Here is a 15,871-nt window from a genome sequence, read left to right on the forward strand (position 1 = left end):
TTTCTAGTGAGACTTTCTCCTAGCTGGTATTTAAGAAGCACAGGATATAGACATTTTTATCTCTTCTTAAATTAATGTCTTGCATTTATTGTAACAAGATGGCTTTCTAATTGTACAGACATTAAACTTAAAAAAAAAGTCACAGTGGGAAAGGGGCATTAACCGTGCTATTATTGAAATGTGGAATGAGGATAAGATCAATACCTTGATTTTCTATAAATAAGAGTCACATAAAATGTCATTTTTCTACACTCTTTCTACTGTCAGGGTTTCTGAAGAAATGAAGAGGAAAAAAAGCTGTAGCGTATTTCACTGACACCTTAGAAGATCTGAATTAATAGTCTTTAAGAATCTACACAGTTTTACTAAATAATAGTTCAGCTCCAATTAAAATGGAAATTGCAGTAATAATTTTCCTCTGAGAAAGAACTCCTTTGTCTGATATGTCACTGTATCATCATTTATTATTCTGTTATTAAAACATTCATTCAGTTGTATTTTCTTCTTTAGGGTTAATTACAAGCTTAAAGATTGGCTATCAACTCTCTCTCCAATGGCATAGTTATATGCTGGAACATATTGTCAGAATTCTGACAAAGAAGGATGTTGGATACATGTCTATCTTCTCTGTCCAGATTTTGGAAGAAAAGTGAGTTAAAGTGACTGCATAATTTACCAATAGTAAGAAATCATCATGCTTACACTTTTTCAGACTTGTGCCTTTTTTTTTGGGTAAAGAATTTTACATTGTGTTTTGCCAGAACCACCAATAGAGATCTGAAAAAGCTGTGTGGTTGTCCTTGGTCAGTGGAAATGACAGAGCTCAAGCTTAATATTGTGCAGTGCTTCCAAACCCTGTCAGACATGATTACAGTTTCTGTTTATAACCATTCAATTTCTTAAACTGTGGACACTTTCTGCTATCCCTCTTTTGAAAAATGTTTGTGTTCTCTATTCCTTTAACACAGGGGTTAGACTTCATGAGAAGACAATGATCCATCAAGACTTCAATGTCCTTGTTTCCCTTGACCCTAAATATATCAAAATGTTATGTTTATGGTTGTTAGAGTGCCACTGGCCAACCTCCATGCAATTGCATCTGAACCATGATACGATTCCAGTTAATGCGTTGAGAATTCGATGTGGTGTTTTCATTTGTCTCACTAGTAAATGGATATGATATTTTCTAGTCCAAAATGTGTAGTCTTCTCTGCTGTAAGCGGCTCCTATAGGTATCTTTGAATATAGGAATGATATAGTATTTTAAAATTAGACACATGACTTCACACATGAAACACAAAACAGACTCTCTATTGGAAAGAAACAATTCTTGGACATCGACATTAAAAACAATAGAAGCTCAATGATACAGAATGCTGAAAAGCCTTAAGTCTAGTATCATACTAAAAGCAGTCACACAGTGGAAACTCACTGTAACATTCTTGAAACTCAGACAGTATCTGTTCCATTCTGCCTCAAGTATTGTTTCTATTAGAGGTTGTAATCTTTACATTGTAAAGATTTGACACATTTTCATACCAACTTCATCATTCCTTAACATTTTATCTCACCTGAGAAAAAACTGTGACTGAATGCTCCCATGTCAGAGTGATGCCTTATTCACCTGCATTTCTCCAGCATGCTATGCGGTGCCTGATCTTTAGTGCAGCTCAATAAAAATAACTGCTGAATGAAAGAGGAGTTTTTTCTTATATTATGCTTTTTCATAGCTTGAACTTCCTTTTACAGATACCATTGCCTGACGACATTTGACAATGTGTTATAATGTTTTTGGTAGTACATGGAGCTGTGGCCTCCATATCTAAGAGGAGCAAGAAGGCTCCATTCTTTGAGTAAAAATAATGTAATTAAAAAGTCATTTGTGATTTTTGTCTTCTTTATGGTTTTTGGAAGTCTCTCAAGTTCTCACTCTTTTCTGTCTACTTGGCTATTCTACCTATGTCTCATGGATACCTAAAACTCATATCTCCCGAGCTGAATGCATCTTTTCATCTTTAAACCTATTCCATTTTGCTGCTTCTGTTAATACCAGCACATTTATTGCAATTATTATATCCAGTAATTTGACATTGTGCTTGACATCTACCCTTTCCTGCCTCTAATACACATAACTTCTGATCTGCTGCCCTGCCCTGCCAATTCTATCTTCCCAACATCATTTACATCTGTCTCCTTCTCTGTGTACCCAACTTCTACTTGCTTCATGAAATCATCTATTCTTTTCTTTTTTTCTTCTTTCTGCCCCTAGTCCCTCCTTTTTTAAATAAAGAATCATCATATTGAAACAGATTTCTAATCATGTCATTCAGTCTTTTGCGTTTTGTCTTAAAGCCTCTAACTGCTTACAGAAAAAAGTATGAACATTTTAGCTCTTGGTTTTAGAATAGCATTGTGTAATAGAACACAATGCAAGCTGCAACTTGGAGGATATAATGCTAAGTGAAGTAAACCAGAAAGACAAACACTGCATGATCTTACTTACATGTGGAATCTAAAAAAGTCAAACTCATAGAATTAGAGAGTAGAATGGTGGTTATCAGAGGTTGGGTGGAGTGAGAAATGGAGAGATAATGGTCAGAGGGTATAAAGTTTTAGTTAGACAGGAGGAATAGTTTCTGGGGATTTATAGTACAGCATGGTGATTACAGTCAATAATAATGTGTGTTTAAAAATTATTAAGAGTAGATTTTAAATATTCTCACGACATGCACACAAGTATGTAAGGTGATGTCTACATTAATTAGCTTGATTCAATCATTTACAATGCATACATATATCAAAACATCACATAGCCTGAAAAATTATAGTTTTGTCAATTCAATAAGAAATTGAACATAAAAAAATTTGTAATAGCCATTTTTAAAAAGTAAAATGCAAGTACTATATTTTATTTAAACCAATATATTAAAAATATCATTTCAAAATGTCAGTATAAAATATTAGATATTTTACATTTTTTTCTACTAAATCATTGAAACATTTTTTGGTTTCATTTTCTATATCTAAATATATGTAGTTTTCAATGTAGACTTCTTATATATTTCTAAGTATTTTATTTTTACTTTATTATAAATGGTGTTTTATTTTTTAAAAATTATAATTCTGAAGTGAAATGCAGAAAATGAAAACCCACAAATTAAATGTATGGCTTAATAAATTATAATTGGGCAAACTGTACTAAGTAAAAAAACAGAAATAAAATTGTATCATTTCAGAAGCCCACTATGTGCCCCATCCTAAACACAACTCCCTCCTTCCTGTCATATTGATTATTATACTGCCTTTACAGAAGCCACTTTTTTCACATTTTTATTTTTACATTTTTATCCACCAAATGAATATCCCTAGACATAATAGTCTAGTATTTCTCACTTTACATTATAACTTTTATTTTCTGGGGTAAATCCTACCTGGTGATTTTACATTTTCTTTGAAAATTATATATATTTATATAGATTCTTTTAAGATATTCCTTAATTCATATGATATTTTTTATGTTTTTTTAACCCAATAGTAAATAACCAAACTATTGCTGAATTCAATCTGCTAATACTTTGTTAAGATTTTTGTGAAAGTTAGGAAGCGTTCCCTCCTCTATTCTCACTTCTCTTTTCATCTGGGATTTGTATGCTTGCTTTCTTAATAGATACAATCAACCATCAGGCCTGAAGTTTTGTTTGTGGCTTTGTTTTTCAACCAATTCTTTTTTGACCTGGGATTTTTTTTTTTTTGTCTTTTTATTCTTTAAGTTCTAGTGTACATGTGCAGAACGTGCAGGTTTGTTACATAGCTATACACATGCCATGGTGGTTTGCTGCACCCATCAACCCATCATCTACATTAGGTAATTCTCCTAATGCTACCTCTCCCCTAGCCTCTCACCCGCTGGCAGGCCCCGGTGTATGATGTTCCCTTCCCTGTGTCCATGTTTTCTCATTGTTCGACTCCCACTTATGAGTGAGAACATGTGGTGTTTGGTGTTCTGTTCTTGTGTTAATTTGCAGAGAATGATGGTTTCCAGTTTCATCCATGTCCCTGCAAAGGAAACGAACTCATGCTTTTTTATGGCTGCCTAGTATTCCATGGTGTATATGTGCCACATCCTCTTAATCTAGTCTATCATTGATGGACATTTGGGTTGGTTCCAAGTCTTTGCTATCATGAACAGTGCCACAATAAACGTATGTGTGCATATGTTTTTATAGTAGAATGATTTATAATCTTTGGGTATATACCCAGTAATGGGATTGCTGGGTCAAATGGTATTTCTAGTTCTAGATCCTTGAGGAATTGCCATGCTGTCTTCCACAATGGTTGAATTAATTTTGCACTCCCACCAACAGTGTAAAAGCATTTCTATTTCTCCACATCCTCTCTGGCATTTATTGTTTCCTGACTTTTTTTTTAAATTATACTTTAAGTTTTAGGGTACATGTGCACAACGTGCAGGTTAGTTACATATGTATGCATGTGCCATGTTGGTGTGCTGCACCCATTAACTTGTCATTTAATATTAGGTATATCTCCTAATGCTATCCCTCCCCCCTACCCCTACCCCACAACAGGCCCCAGTGTGTGATGTTCCCCTTCCTGTGTCCATGTGTTCTCATTGTTCAATTCCCACCTATGAATGAGAACATGCAGTGTTTGGTTTTTTGTCCTTGCAATAGATTGCTGAGAATGATGGTTTCCAGCTTCATCCATGTCCCTGCAAAGGACATGAACTCATCCTTTTTCATGGCTGCATAGTATTCCATGGTGTATATGTGCCACATTCTCTTAATCCAGTCTATCATTGTTGGACATATGGCTTGGTTCCCAGTCTTTGCCATTGTGAATAGTGCTGCAAGAAACATACGTGTGCATGTGTCTTTATAGCAGCATGATTTATAATCCTTTGGATATATACCCAGTAATGGGATTGCTGGGTCAAATGATATTTCTAGTTCTAGATCCCTGAAGAATTGCCACACTGATTTCCACAATGGTTGAACTAGTTTATGGTCCCACCAACAGTGGAAAAGTGTTCCTATTTCTCCACATCCTCTCCAGCACCTGTTTTTTCCTGACTTTTTAATGATCGCCATTCTAACTGGTGTGAGATGGTATCTCAAGGTGGTTTTGATTTGCATTTCTCTGATGGCCAGTGATGATGAGCATTTTTCCATGTGTCTTTTGGCTGCATAAATGTCTTCTTTTGAGAAGTGTCTGTTCATATCCTTCGCCCACTTTTTGATGGGGTTGTTTTTTTTTTTCTTGTAAATTTGTTAGAGTTCATTGTAGATTCTGGATATTAGCCCTTTGTCAGATGAGTAGATTGCAAAAATTTTCTCACATTGTGTAGGTTGCCTGTTCACTCTGATGGTAGTTTCTTTTGCTGTGCAGAAGCTCTTTAGTTTAATTAGATCCCATTTGTCAATTTTGGCTTTTGTTGCCATTGCTTTTGGTGTTTTAAACATGAAGTCCTTGTGCATGCCTATGTCCTGAATGGTATTGCCTAGGTTTTCTTGTAGGGTTTTTATGGTTTTGGGTCTAACATTTAAGTCTTTAATCCATCTCGAATTAATTTTTGTATAAGGTGTAAGGAAGGGATCCAGTTTCAGCTTTCTACATATGGCTAGCCAGTTTTCCCAGCACCATTTATTAAATAGGGAATCCTTTCCCCATTGCTTGTTTTCATCAGGTTTGTCAAAGATCAGATAGTTGTAGATATGCAGCATTATTTCTAAAGGCTCTGTTCTGTTCCATTGGTCTATATCTCTGATTTGGTACCAGTACCATGCTGTTTTGGTTACTGTAGCCTTGTAGTATGGTTTGAAGTCAGGTAGTGTGATGCCTCCAGCTTTGTTCTTTTGGCTTAGGATTGACTTGGTGATGCGGGCTGTTTTTTGGTTCCATACAAACTTTAAACTAGTTTTTACCAATTCTGTGAAGAAAGTCATTGGTAGCTTGATGGGGATGGCATTGAATCTATAAATTACCATGGGCAGTATGGCCATTTTCACAATATTGATTCTTCCTACCCATGAGCATGGAATGTTCTTCCATTTGTTTGTATCCTCTTTTATTTCATTGAGCACTGGTTTGTAGTTCTCCTTGAAGAGGTCCTTCATGTCCCTTGTAAGGTAGATTCCCAGGTATTTTATTCTTTTTGAAGTAATTGTGAATGGCAGTTCACTCATGATTTGGCGCTCTGTTTGTCTGTTATTGGTGTGTAGGAATGCTTGTGATTTTTGTACACTGATTTTGTATCCTGAGACTTTGCCAAATTTGCCTATCAGTTTAAGGAGATTTTGGGCTGAGATGATAGGGTTTTCTAGATATACAATCATGTCATCTGCAAACAGGGACAATTTGACTTCCTCTTTTCCTAATTGAATACCCTTTATTTGCTTCTCCTGCCTGATTGCCCTGGCCAGAACTTCCAACACTATGTTGAATAGGAGTGGTGAGAGAGGGCATCCCTGTCTTGTACCAGTTTTCAAAGGGAATGCTTCCAGTTTTTGTCCATTGAGTATGATATTGGCTGTGGGTTTGTCATAGATAGCTCTTATTATTTTGAGATACGTCCCATCGATACCTAATTTATTGAGAGTTTTTAGCATTAAGGTTGTTGAATTTTGTCAAAGGCCTTTTCCGCATCTATTGAGATAATCCTATGGTTTTTGTCGTTGGTTCTGTTTACATGCTGCATTACGTTTATTGATTTGTGTGTGTTGAACCAGCCTTTCAACCAAGGGATGAAGCCCCCTTGATCATGATGGATAAGCTTTCTGATGTGCTGCTGGATTCAGTTTGCCAGTATTTTATTGAGGATTTTTGCATCGATGTTCATCAGGGATATTGGGTCTAAAATTCTTTTTTTGTTGTGTCTCTGCCAGTCTTTGGTATTAGGATGATGCTGGCCTCATAAAATGAGTTAGGGAGGATTCCCTCTTTTTCTATTGATTGGAATAGTTTCAGAAGGAATGGTACCAGCTCCTCCTTGTACCTCTGGTAGAATTCGGCTGTGAATCTATCTGGTTATGGACTTTTTTCGTTGGTAAGCAATTAATTATTGCCTCAATTTCAGAGCTTGTTATTGGTCTATTCAGAAATTCAACTTCTTCCTGGTTTAGTCTTGGGAGGGTGTATGTGTCGAGGAATTTATCCATTTCTTCTAGATTTTCTGGTTTATTTGTGTAGAGGTGTTTATAGTATTCTCTGATGGTAGTTTGTATTTCTGTGGGATCGGTTGTGATATCCCCTTTGTCATTTTTTATTGCATCTATTTGATTCTTCTCTCTTTTCTTCTTTATTAGTCTTGCTAGTGGTCTATCAGTTTTGTTGATCTTTTCACAAAACCAGCTCCTGGATTCATTGATGTTTTGAAGAGTTTTTTATGTCGCTATTTCCTTCAGTTCTGCTCTGATCTTATTTATTTCTTGTCTTCTGCTAGCTTTTGAATGTGTTTGCTCTTGCTTCTCTAGTTCTTTCAATTGTGATGTTAGGGTTTCTATTTTAGATCTTTCCTTGTTTCTCTTGTGGGCATTTAGTGCTATAAATTTCCCTCTACACACTGCTTTAAATGTGTCCCAGAGATTCTGTTATGTTGTGTCTTTGTTCTCATTGGTTTCAAAGAACATCTTTGTTTCTGCTTTCATTTCGTTCTCTACCCAGTATTCATTCAGGAGCAGGTTGTTCAGTTTCCATGTAGTTGAGTGGTTTTGAGTGAGTTTCTTAATCCTGAATTCTAGTTTGATTGCACTGTGGTCTGAGAGACAGTTTGTTATAATTTCTGTTCTTTTACATATGCTGAGGAGTGCTCTACTTCTGACTATGTGGTCAATTTTGGAATAAGTGTGGTGTGGTGCTGAGAAGAATGTATATTCTGTTGATTTTGGGGTGGAGAGTTCTGTAGATGTCTATTAGGTCTGCTTGGTGCAGAGCTGAGTTCAATTCCTGGGTATCCTTTTTAACTTTCTGTCTTGTTGATCTGTCTAATGTTGACAGTGGGGTGTTAAAGTCTCCCATTATTATTGTGTGGGAGTCTAAGTCTCTTTCTAGGTCTCTAAGGACTTGCTTTATGAATCTGGGTGCTCCTGTGTTGGGTGCATATATATTTAGGATAGTTAGCTCTTCTTGTTGAATTGATCCCTTTACCATTATGTAATAGCCTTCTTTGTCTCTTGATCTTTGTTGCTTTAAACTCTGTTTTATCAGAGACTAGGATTGCAACCCCTGCCATTTTTTGTTTTCCATTTGCTTGGTAGATCTTCCTTCATCTCTTTATTTTGAGTCCATGTGTGTCTCTGCACATGAGATGGGTTTCCTGAATACAGCACACTGATGGGTCTTGACTCTTTATCCAATTTGCCAGTCTGTGTCTTTTAATTGGAGCATTTAGCCCATTTACATTTAAGGTTAATGTTTCATGTGTGAATTTGATCCTGCCATTATGATGCTAGCTGGTTATTTTGCTCATTAGTTGATTCAGTTTCTTCCTAGACTTGATGGTCTTTACAATTTGGCATGTTTTTGCAGTGGCTGGTACTGGTTGTTCCTTTCCATGTTTAGTGCCTCCTTCAGGAGCTCTTTTAGGGCAGGTCTGGTGGTGACAAAATCTCTCAGCATTTGCTTGTCTGTAAAGGATTTTATTTCTCCTTCACTTATGCAGCTTAGTTTGGCTGGTTATGAAATACTGGGTTGAAAATTCTTTTCTTTAAGAATGTTGAATATTGGCCCTCACTCTCTTCTGACTTGTAGAGTTTCTGCCGAGAGATCAGCTGTTAGGCTGATGGGTTTCCCCTTGTGGGTAACCCGACCTTTCTCGCTGGCTGCCCTTAACATTTTTTTCCTTCATTTCAACTTTGGTGAATCTGACAATTATGTGTCTTGGAGTTGCTCTTCTGGAGGAGTATCTTTGTGGCATTCTCTGTATTTCCTGCTTTTGAATGTTGGCCTGCCTTGCTAGGTTTGGGAAGTTCTGGATAATATCCTGCAGAGTGTTTTCCAACTTGGTTCCATTCTCCCTGTCACTTTCAGGTACACCAATCAGACATAGATTTGGTCTTTTCACATAGTCCCAGATTTCTTGCAGGCTTTGTTCATTTCTTTTTATTCTTTTTTTTCTCTAAACTTCTCTTCTCACTTCATTTCATTCATTTGATCTTCCATCACTGATACCCTTTCTTCCAGTTGATCTAATCAGCTACTGAGGCTTGTGCATTCATCATGTAGTTCTCATGCCTTGGTTTTCAGCTCCATCAGGTCCTTTAAGGACTTCTCTGCATTGGTTATTCTAGTTAGCAATTCATCTAATTTTTTTTTCAGTTTTTTAACTTCTTTGTGTTGGGCTCGAACTTCCTCCTTTAGCTCGGATAAGTTTGATTGTCAGAAGACTTCTTCTCTCAACTCATCAAAGTCATTCTCCATCCTGCTTTGTTCCATTGCTGGTGAGGAGCAGCGATCCTTTGCAGGAGGAGACGTGCTCTGATTTTCAGAGTATCCAGATTTTCTGCTCTGTTTTTTCCCTGTCTTTGTGGTTTTACCTACCTTTGGTCTTTGATGATGGTGACGTACAGATGGGGTTTTGGTGTGGATGTCCTTTCTGTTTGTTTGTTTTCCTTCTAACAGTCAGGACCCTCAGCTGCAGGTCTGTTGGAGTTTGCTAGAGGTCCACTCTAGACCCTGTTTGGCTGGGTATCAGCAGCGGAGGCTGCAGAACAGCGGATATTGGTGAGCAGCAAATGTTGCTGCCTGATTGTTCCTCTGGAAGTTTTGTCTCAGAGGAGTACCCGGCCATGTGAGGTGTCAGTCTGTCCCTACTGGGGGGTGCCTCCCAGTTAGGTTACTCAGGGGTCAGGGACCAACTTGAGGAGGCAGTCTGTCCATTCTCAGATCTCCAGCTGCGTGCTGGGAGAACCACTACTCTCTTCAAAGCTGTCAGAGAGGGACATTTAAGTCTGGAGAGGATTCTGCTGCCTTTTGTTTGGCTGTGCCCTGCCCCCAGAGGTGGAGTCTACAGAGTCAGGCAGGCCTCCTTGAGCTGTGGTGGGCTCCACCCAGTTCGAGCTTCCAGGTGGCTTTGTTTACCTACTCAAGCCTGGGCAATGGCAGGCACCCCTCCCCCAGCCTCACTGCTGCCTTGCAGTTTGATCTCAGACTGCTGTGCTAGCAATGAGCGAGGCTCTGTGGGCATAGGACCATCTGAGCCAGGTGCAGGATATAATCTCCTGGTGTGCCGTTTGCTAAGACCATGGAAAAGTGTAGTACTAGGGTGGGAGTGACTCAATTTTCCAGGTGCCATCTGTCACCCCTTTCTTTGACTAGGAAAGGGAATTCCCTGACCCCTTGTGCTTCTTGGGTGAGGCGATGCCTTGCCCTGCTGTGGCTCATGCTGGATGTGCTGCACCCACTGTCCACCCACTTTCTGACACTCCCCAGTGAGATGCACCCAGTACCTCAGTTGGAAATGCAGAAATCACCCATCTTCTGCATCGCTCAGGCTGTGAGCTGTAGACTGGAGCTGTTCCTATTCAGCCATCTTGGCTCCACGTGTTTTCTGACTTTTTAGTGATTGCCATACAACTGTGTGAGATGGTATCTCATTGTAGTTTTGATTCGCATTTCTCTAATGACCAGTGATGATGAGCTTTTTTTACATATGTTTGTTGGCCACATAAATGTCTTCTTTTGAAAAGTGTCTGCTCATATTCTTTGCCCACTTTTTGATGGGGAGTTTTGTTTTTTTTTCTCGTAAATTTGTTTAAGTTCTTTGTAGATTCTGGATAGTAGCCCTTTGTCAGGTAAATAGATTACAAAAATTTTCTCCTGTTCTTTAGGTTGTCTGTTCACTCTGTTTATAGTTTCTTTTTGCTGTGCAGAATCTCTTTAGTTTAATAAGACCCCATTTGCCAATTTTGGCTATTGTTGCCATTACTTTTGGTGTTTCAGTCATGAAGTCTTTGGCCATTTCTATGTCCTGAATGTTATTGCCTGGGTTTTCTTCTAGGGCTTTAGGTCTTACGTTTAAGTCTTTAATCCATCTTGAGTTAATTTTTGCTTAAGGTGTAAGAAAGCAGTCCAGTTTCAGTTTTCTGCATATGGCTAGCCAGTTTTCCTAACGCCATTTATTAAATAGGGAATTCTTTCCTCATTGCTTGTTTTTGTCAGGCTTGTCAAAGATCAGATGGTTGTAGATTGTGGGTGTTATTTCTGAGGCCTCTGTTCTCTTCCATTGGTCTATATATTTTGCGAACAGTACCATGCTGTTTTTGTTACTGTAGCCTTGTAGTATAGTTTGAAGTCAGGTAGCATGATGCCTCCAACTTTGTTCTTTTTGCTTAGAATTATTTTGGCTATGCAGGCTCTTCTTTGGTTCCATATGAAATTTATAGTAGTTTTTTTCTAATTTTGTGAAGAAAGTCAATGGTAACTTGATGGGGATAGCATTGAATCTATAAATTGCTTTGGGCACTCTCGCCATTTTCACAATATTGATTCTTCATATCCATGAGCATGAAATATTTTCCCATTTGCTTGTATCTTCTCTTATTTCCTTGAACAGTGGTTTGTAGTTCTCCTTGAAGAGGTCTTTCACATGCCTTGTAAATTGTATTCCTAGGTATTCTTTTCATAGCAATTGTGAATGGGAGTTCACTCATGATTTGGCTCTCTGTTTGTCTGTTATTGGTGCGTAAGAATGCTTGTGATTTTTGCACATTGATTTTGTATCCTGAGACTTTGCCAAAGTTGCTTATCAAAGCTTAAGGAGATTTTGGGCTGAGACGATGGGATTTTCTAAATATACAATCATGTCATCTGCAAACAGAGACAATTTGACTTCCTCTCTTTCTATTTGAATATGCCTTATTTCTTTCTCTTGCCTGATTGCCCTGGCCAGATCTTCCAATACTATGTTGAGTAGGAGTGGTGAGAGAGGGCATCCCTGTCTTGTGCCAGTTTTCAAAAAGAATTCTTCCACTTTTTGCCCATTCAGTGTGATATTGGCTGTGAATTTATCATAAATAGCTCTTATTATTTTGAGATATGTTCCATATAACCTAGTCTGTTGACAGTTTTTAGCATGAAGGGGTGTAGAATTTTATTGAAGGCCTTTTTTTTTTGGATCTATTGAGATAATCATGTGGTTTCTGTCATTGGTTCTGTTTATGTGATGGATTAAGTTTATTTATTTGTATATGTTAAACCAGCCTTGCATCCCAGGGATGAAGCTGACTTGATTTTGGTGGATAAGTTTTTTGATGTGCTACTGGATTTGGTTTGCTGGTATTTTATTGAGGATTTTTGCATCCATTTTCATCAGGGATATTGGCCTGAAATTTTATTTTTGTTGTGTGTCTGCCAGGTTTTTGTATCAGGATGATGCTGGCCTCATAAAATGAGTTAGGGAGGATTCCCTCTTTTTCTATTGTTTGGAATAGTTTCAGAGGAATGGTAGCAGCTACTCTTTGTACCTCTAGTAGAATTCGGCTGTGAATCCGTCTGGTCCTGGACTTATTTTTGTTGGTAGGCTATTAATTACTGCCTCAATTTCAGAATTTGTTATTGGTCTGTTCAGGGATTTGAATTCTTCCTGGTTTAGACTTGGGAGGATATATGTATCCAGGAATTTGCCAATTTTGTCTAGATTTTATTGTTTATTTGTATAGAGGTATTTATAGTATTCTCTGATGGTAGTTTGTATTTCTGTGGGATCAGTGGTGATATCCCTTTTATCATTTTTTATTGCATCTATTTAATTCTTCTCTCTTTTCTTCATTAGTCTGGCTAGTAGTCTATTTTGTTGACCTTTTCAGAAAACCAGCTCCTGTATTCATTGATTTTTTTTTTTGAAGGGTTTTTTATGTCTCTATCTCCTTCAGCTCTGCTCTGATCTTAGTTATTTCTTGTCCTCTGCTAGCTTTTGAATTTGTTTGCTCTTGCTTCTCTAGTTCTTTTAATTGTGATGTGAGGGTGTCAATTTTAGATCTTTCTTGCTGTCTCTTGTGGGCATTCAGTGCTATAAATTTCCCTCTAAACACTGCTTTAGCTGTGTCCCAGAGATTCTGGTACATTGTGTCTTTGTTCTCATTGGTTTCAAAGAACTTATTTATTTCTGCCTTAATTTTGTTATTTACCTAGTAGTCATTCAGGAGCAGGTTGTTCCATTTCCATGTAGTTGTGGGGTATTGAGTGAGTTTCTTAGTCCTGAGTTCTAGTTTGATTTCACTGTGGTCTGAGAGACTGTTTGTTATGATTTCTGTTCTTTTGCATTTGCTGAGGAGTATTTTACTTCCGATTATGTGGTCAATTTTAGAATAAGTGCGACATGGTGCTGAGAAGAATGTATATTCTGTTGATTTGGGGTGGAGAGTTCTGTAGATGTCTACTAGATCCACTTGGTTCCATAGCTGAGTTCAAGTCCTGAATATCCTTGTTAATTTTCTGTCTCATTGATGTGTCTAATATTGACAGTGGGGTGTTAAAGTCTCTTACACTATTATGTAAGAGTCTAAGTCTCTTTGTAGGTCTCTAAAAACTTGCTTGAATCTGAGTGCTCCTGTATCTGGTGTGTATATATTTAGGAGAGTTAGCTCTTCTTGTTGCATTGATCTGTTTACCATTATATAATGCCCTTCTTTGTCTCTTTTGATTTTGTTGGTTTCAAGTCTGTTTTATCAGAGACTGGGATTGCAAACCCTGTTCTTTTTTGCTTTCCAGTTGCTTGGTAAATATTCCTCCTTTCCTTTACTTTGAGCCGACGTCTGTCTTTGCAGGTGAGATGGGTCTCCTGAATACAGCACACCAATGGATATTGAGTCTTTATCCAATTTGCCAGCCTGTGTCTTTTAATTTAGACATTTGGCCAATTTACATTTAAGGTTGATATTGTTATGTGTGAATTTGATCCTGCCACTATAATGCTAGCTTGTTATTTTGCCTGTTAGTTGATGCAGTTTCTTGTCATTTGTTCTTTTATGTAATGGATTACGTTTATTGATTTGCATATGTTGAACCATGCTTGCATCCCAGGGATGAAGCGGACTTGATCATGGTGGATAATCTTTATGTGCTGCTGGATTTGGCTTGCCAATTGACTGCATCTAAGTGTCACTGGTCTTTACAAATTGGCTTGTTTTTGCAGTGGCTGGTACTGGTTGTTCCTTTCCATGTTTAGTGCTTCCTTCAGGAGCTCTTGTAAGCAGGCCTGGTGGTGACAAAATCTCTCAGCATTTGCTTGTCTGTAAAGGATTTTATTTCTCCTTCACTTATGAAGCTTAGTTTGGCTGGATATGAAATTCTGGGTTGAAAATTCTTTTCTTTAAGAATGTTGAATATTGGCCCTCACTCTCTTCTGGCTTGCAAGGTTTCTGCAGAGAGATCCACTGTTAGTCTGATGGGCTTCCCTTTGTGGGTAAGCCACCCTTTCTCTCTGGCTGACCTAACTTTTAAAAATAGATATAGAGCTATTCAGATTTTTCCATTTCATCTTTTGATAGTTTTGGTAAATTATGTTTTTCAGGGCATTTGTGCATCTTATCTAAGTTGTAAAATTTATCATCTTAAAATAATAATAACATATTTCATACTGATTCTTTTATTTCACTTTTTCTTTCCAACTTTTATTTTAGGTTCAAGGGGTACATGTGCAGGTTTGTTACATGGGTAGATTGTGTGGGGGTTTAGTATACAAAACAATTTGTCACCCATGGAGTCAGCCTAATATCCAATAGGTAATTTTTCAATCCTCCCCTTCCCTCCTCCCTCCACACTCAAGTAGGCTCCAGTGTTTATTAGTCCTTTCTTTGTGTCCATGTGTAACTCAAGGTTTAGTTCTCACTTATAGGTGAGAACATGTCATATTCAGTTTTTTGTTCCCTTGTTAATTTGCTTAGGATAATGGCTCCGGCTCCATTCATGTTTCTTCAAAAGATATGATTTCATTCTTCTTTATGGCTACATAGTATTCCATGGTGTATATGTACATTTTCTTTATCTTGTCTAGTGTTGGTGAGCATCTAGGTTGACTCCATGTCTTTGATATTGTGAATAGTGCTGTGATGAACATACACATGCATGTATCTTTGTGGTAGAATGATTTATATTCATTTGGGTATATAACCATGAAACATGTTTTTATCTACAAATGCTCAACAGCCATGTGCGGCTAATGGCTACTGTTATGACAATACAGTTCTAGAACTTTCATTGTCTTTTACAAACCTGCTTCTGACTCTGATTTTCTTTCCTGTGTATATGCTCCATGCAGCAGTCAAATTGAACTCTATTTTCATATTTGTGAATCATCCAAGTTATTTTGCTACCTTCTCTTTCTCCTGTCTTATATCCATGGAATGCTATTCTCTCCTTTGCGTTTCCAAATTCTGCAAGTGCTTTTGGGCTTTTTTCAAATGCCATCTGACCCACGAGATCTTATCTTCCATAACATGAAGTAAACTTTCACCTCTCTGACTTTCTATAGACTATTTTCTATGATGTCACTTAGCAATCTTAATTTTTGTACACATCCATCATATCTTCTTTACTAGGTTGTAAATTCTTGAAAGCAGGCACTGTATTTTCTTCTTTGTGCCACACATAAATCTTAACCTTATACCTTGCTCATGAATGTGTTTACAGAATGCTTAATGAATGATATGTTAAATTCTTTGTGAAGGTGATTATATTAACTGAGCTGAGAAATGATTGAAAATAGTTAAAAATGAAAAAAGTGCAATTGTTTGTGTATTATTTCTGAATTTATGTAACATTGAAAACAGTGCTTTTAAGTTAGCAAAAAATATTCCTTTACCAAATGCGACATACTCATGGCTTATGTAAAGAATTTATAAGGACTTAATAAGAG

General features: G+C 37.4%; 1 annotated feature.

The window, feature by feature from the left end:
* Positions 12,240–12,425: a silencer, noted in NCBI's record as "fragment chr6:77011078-77011263 (GRCh37/hg19 assembly coordinates)". NCBI's record gives its function as "represses an EF-1alpha promoter that drives an FKBP-Casp9 reporter gene in an ReSE screen in K562 erythroleukemia cells {active_cell/tissue: K562}" and the evidence as "EXISTENCE:reporter gene assay evidence [ECO:0000049][PMID:32094911]".

This window comes from Homo sapiens, chromosome 6 (genome assembly GCF_000001405.40).
Source record: "Homo sapiens chromosome 6, GRCh38.p14 Primary Assembly".
NCBI classification, from domain to species: Eukaryota; Metazoa; Chordata; class Mammalia; order Primates; family Hominidae; genus Homo; species Homo sapiens.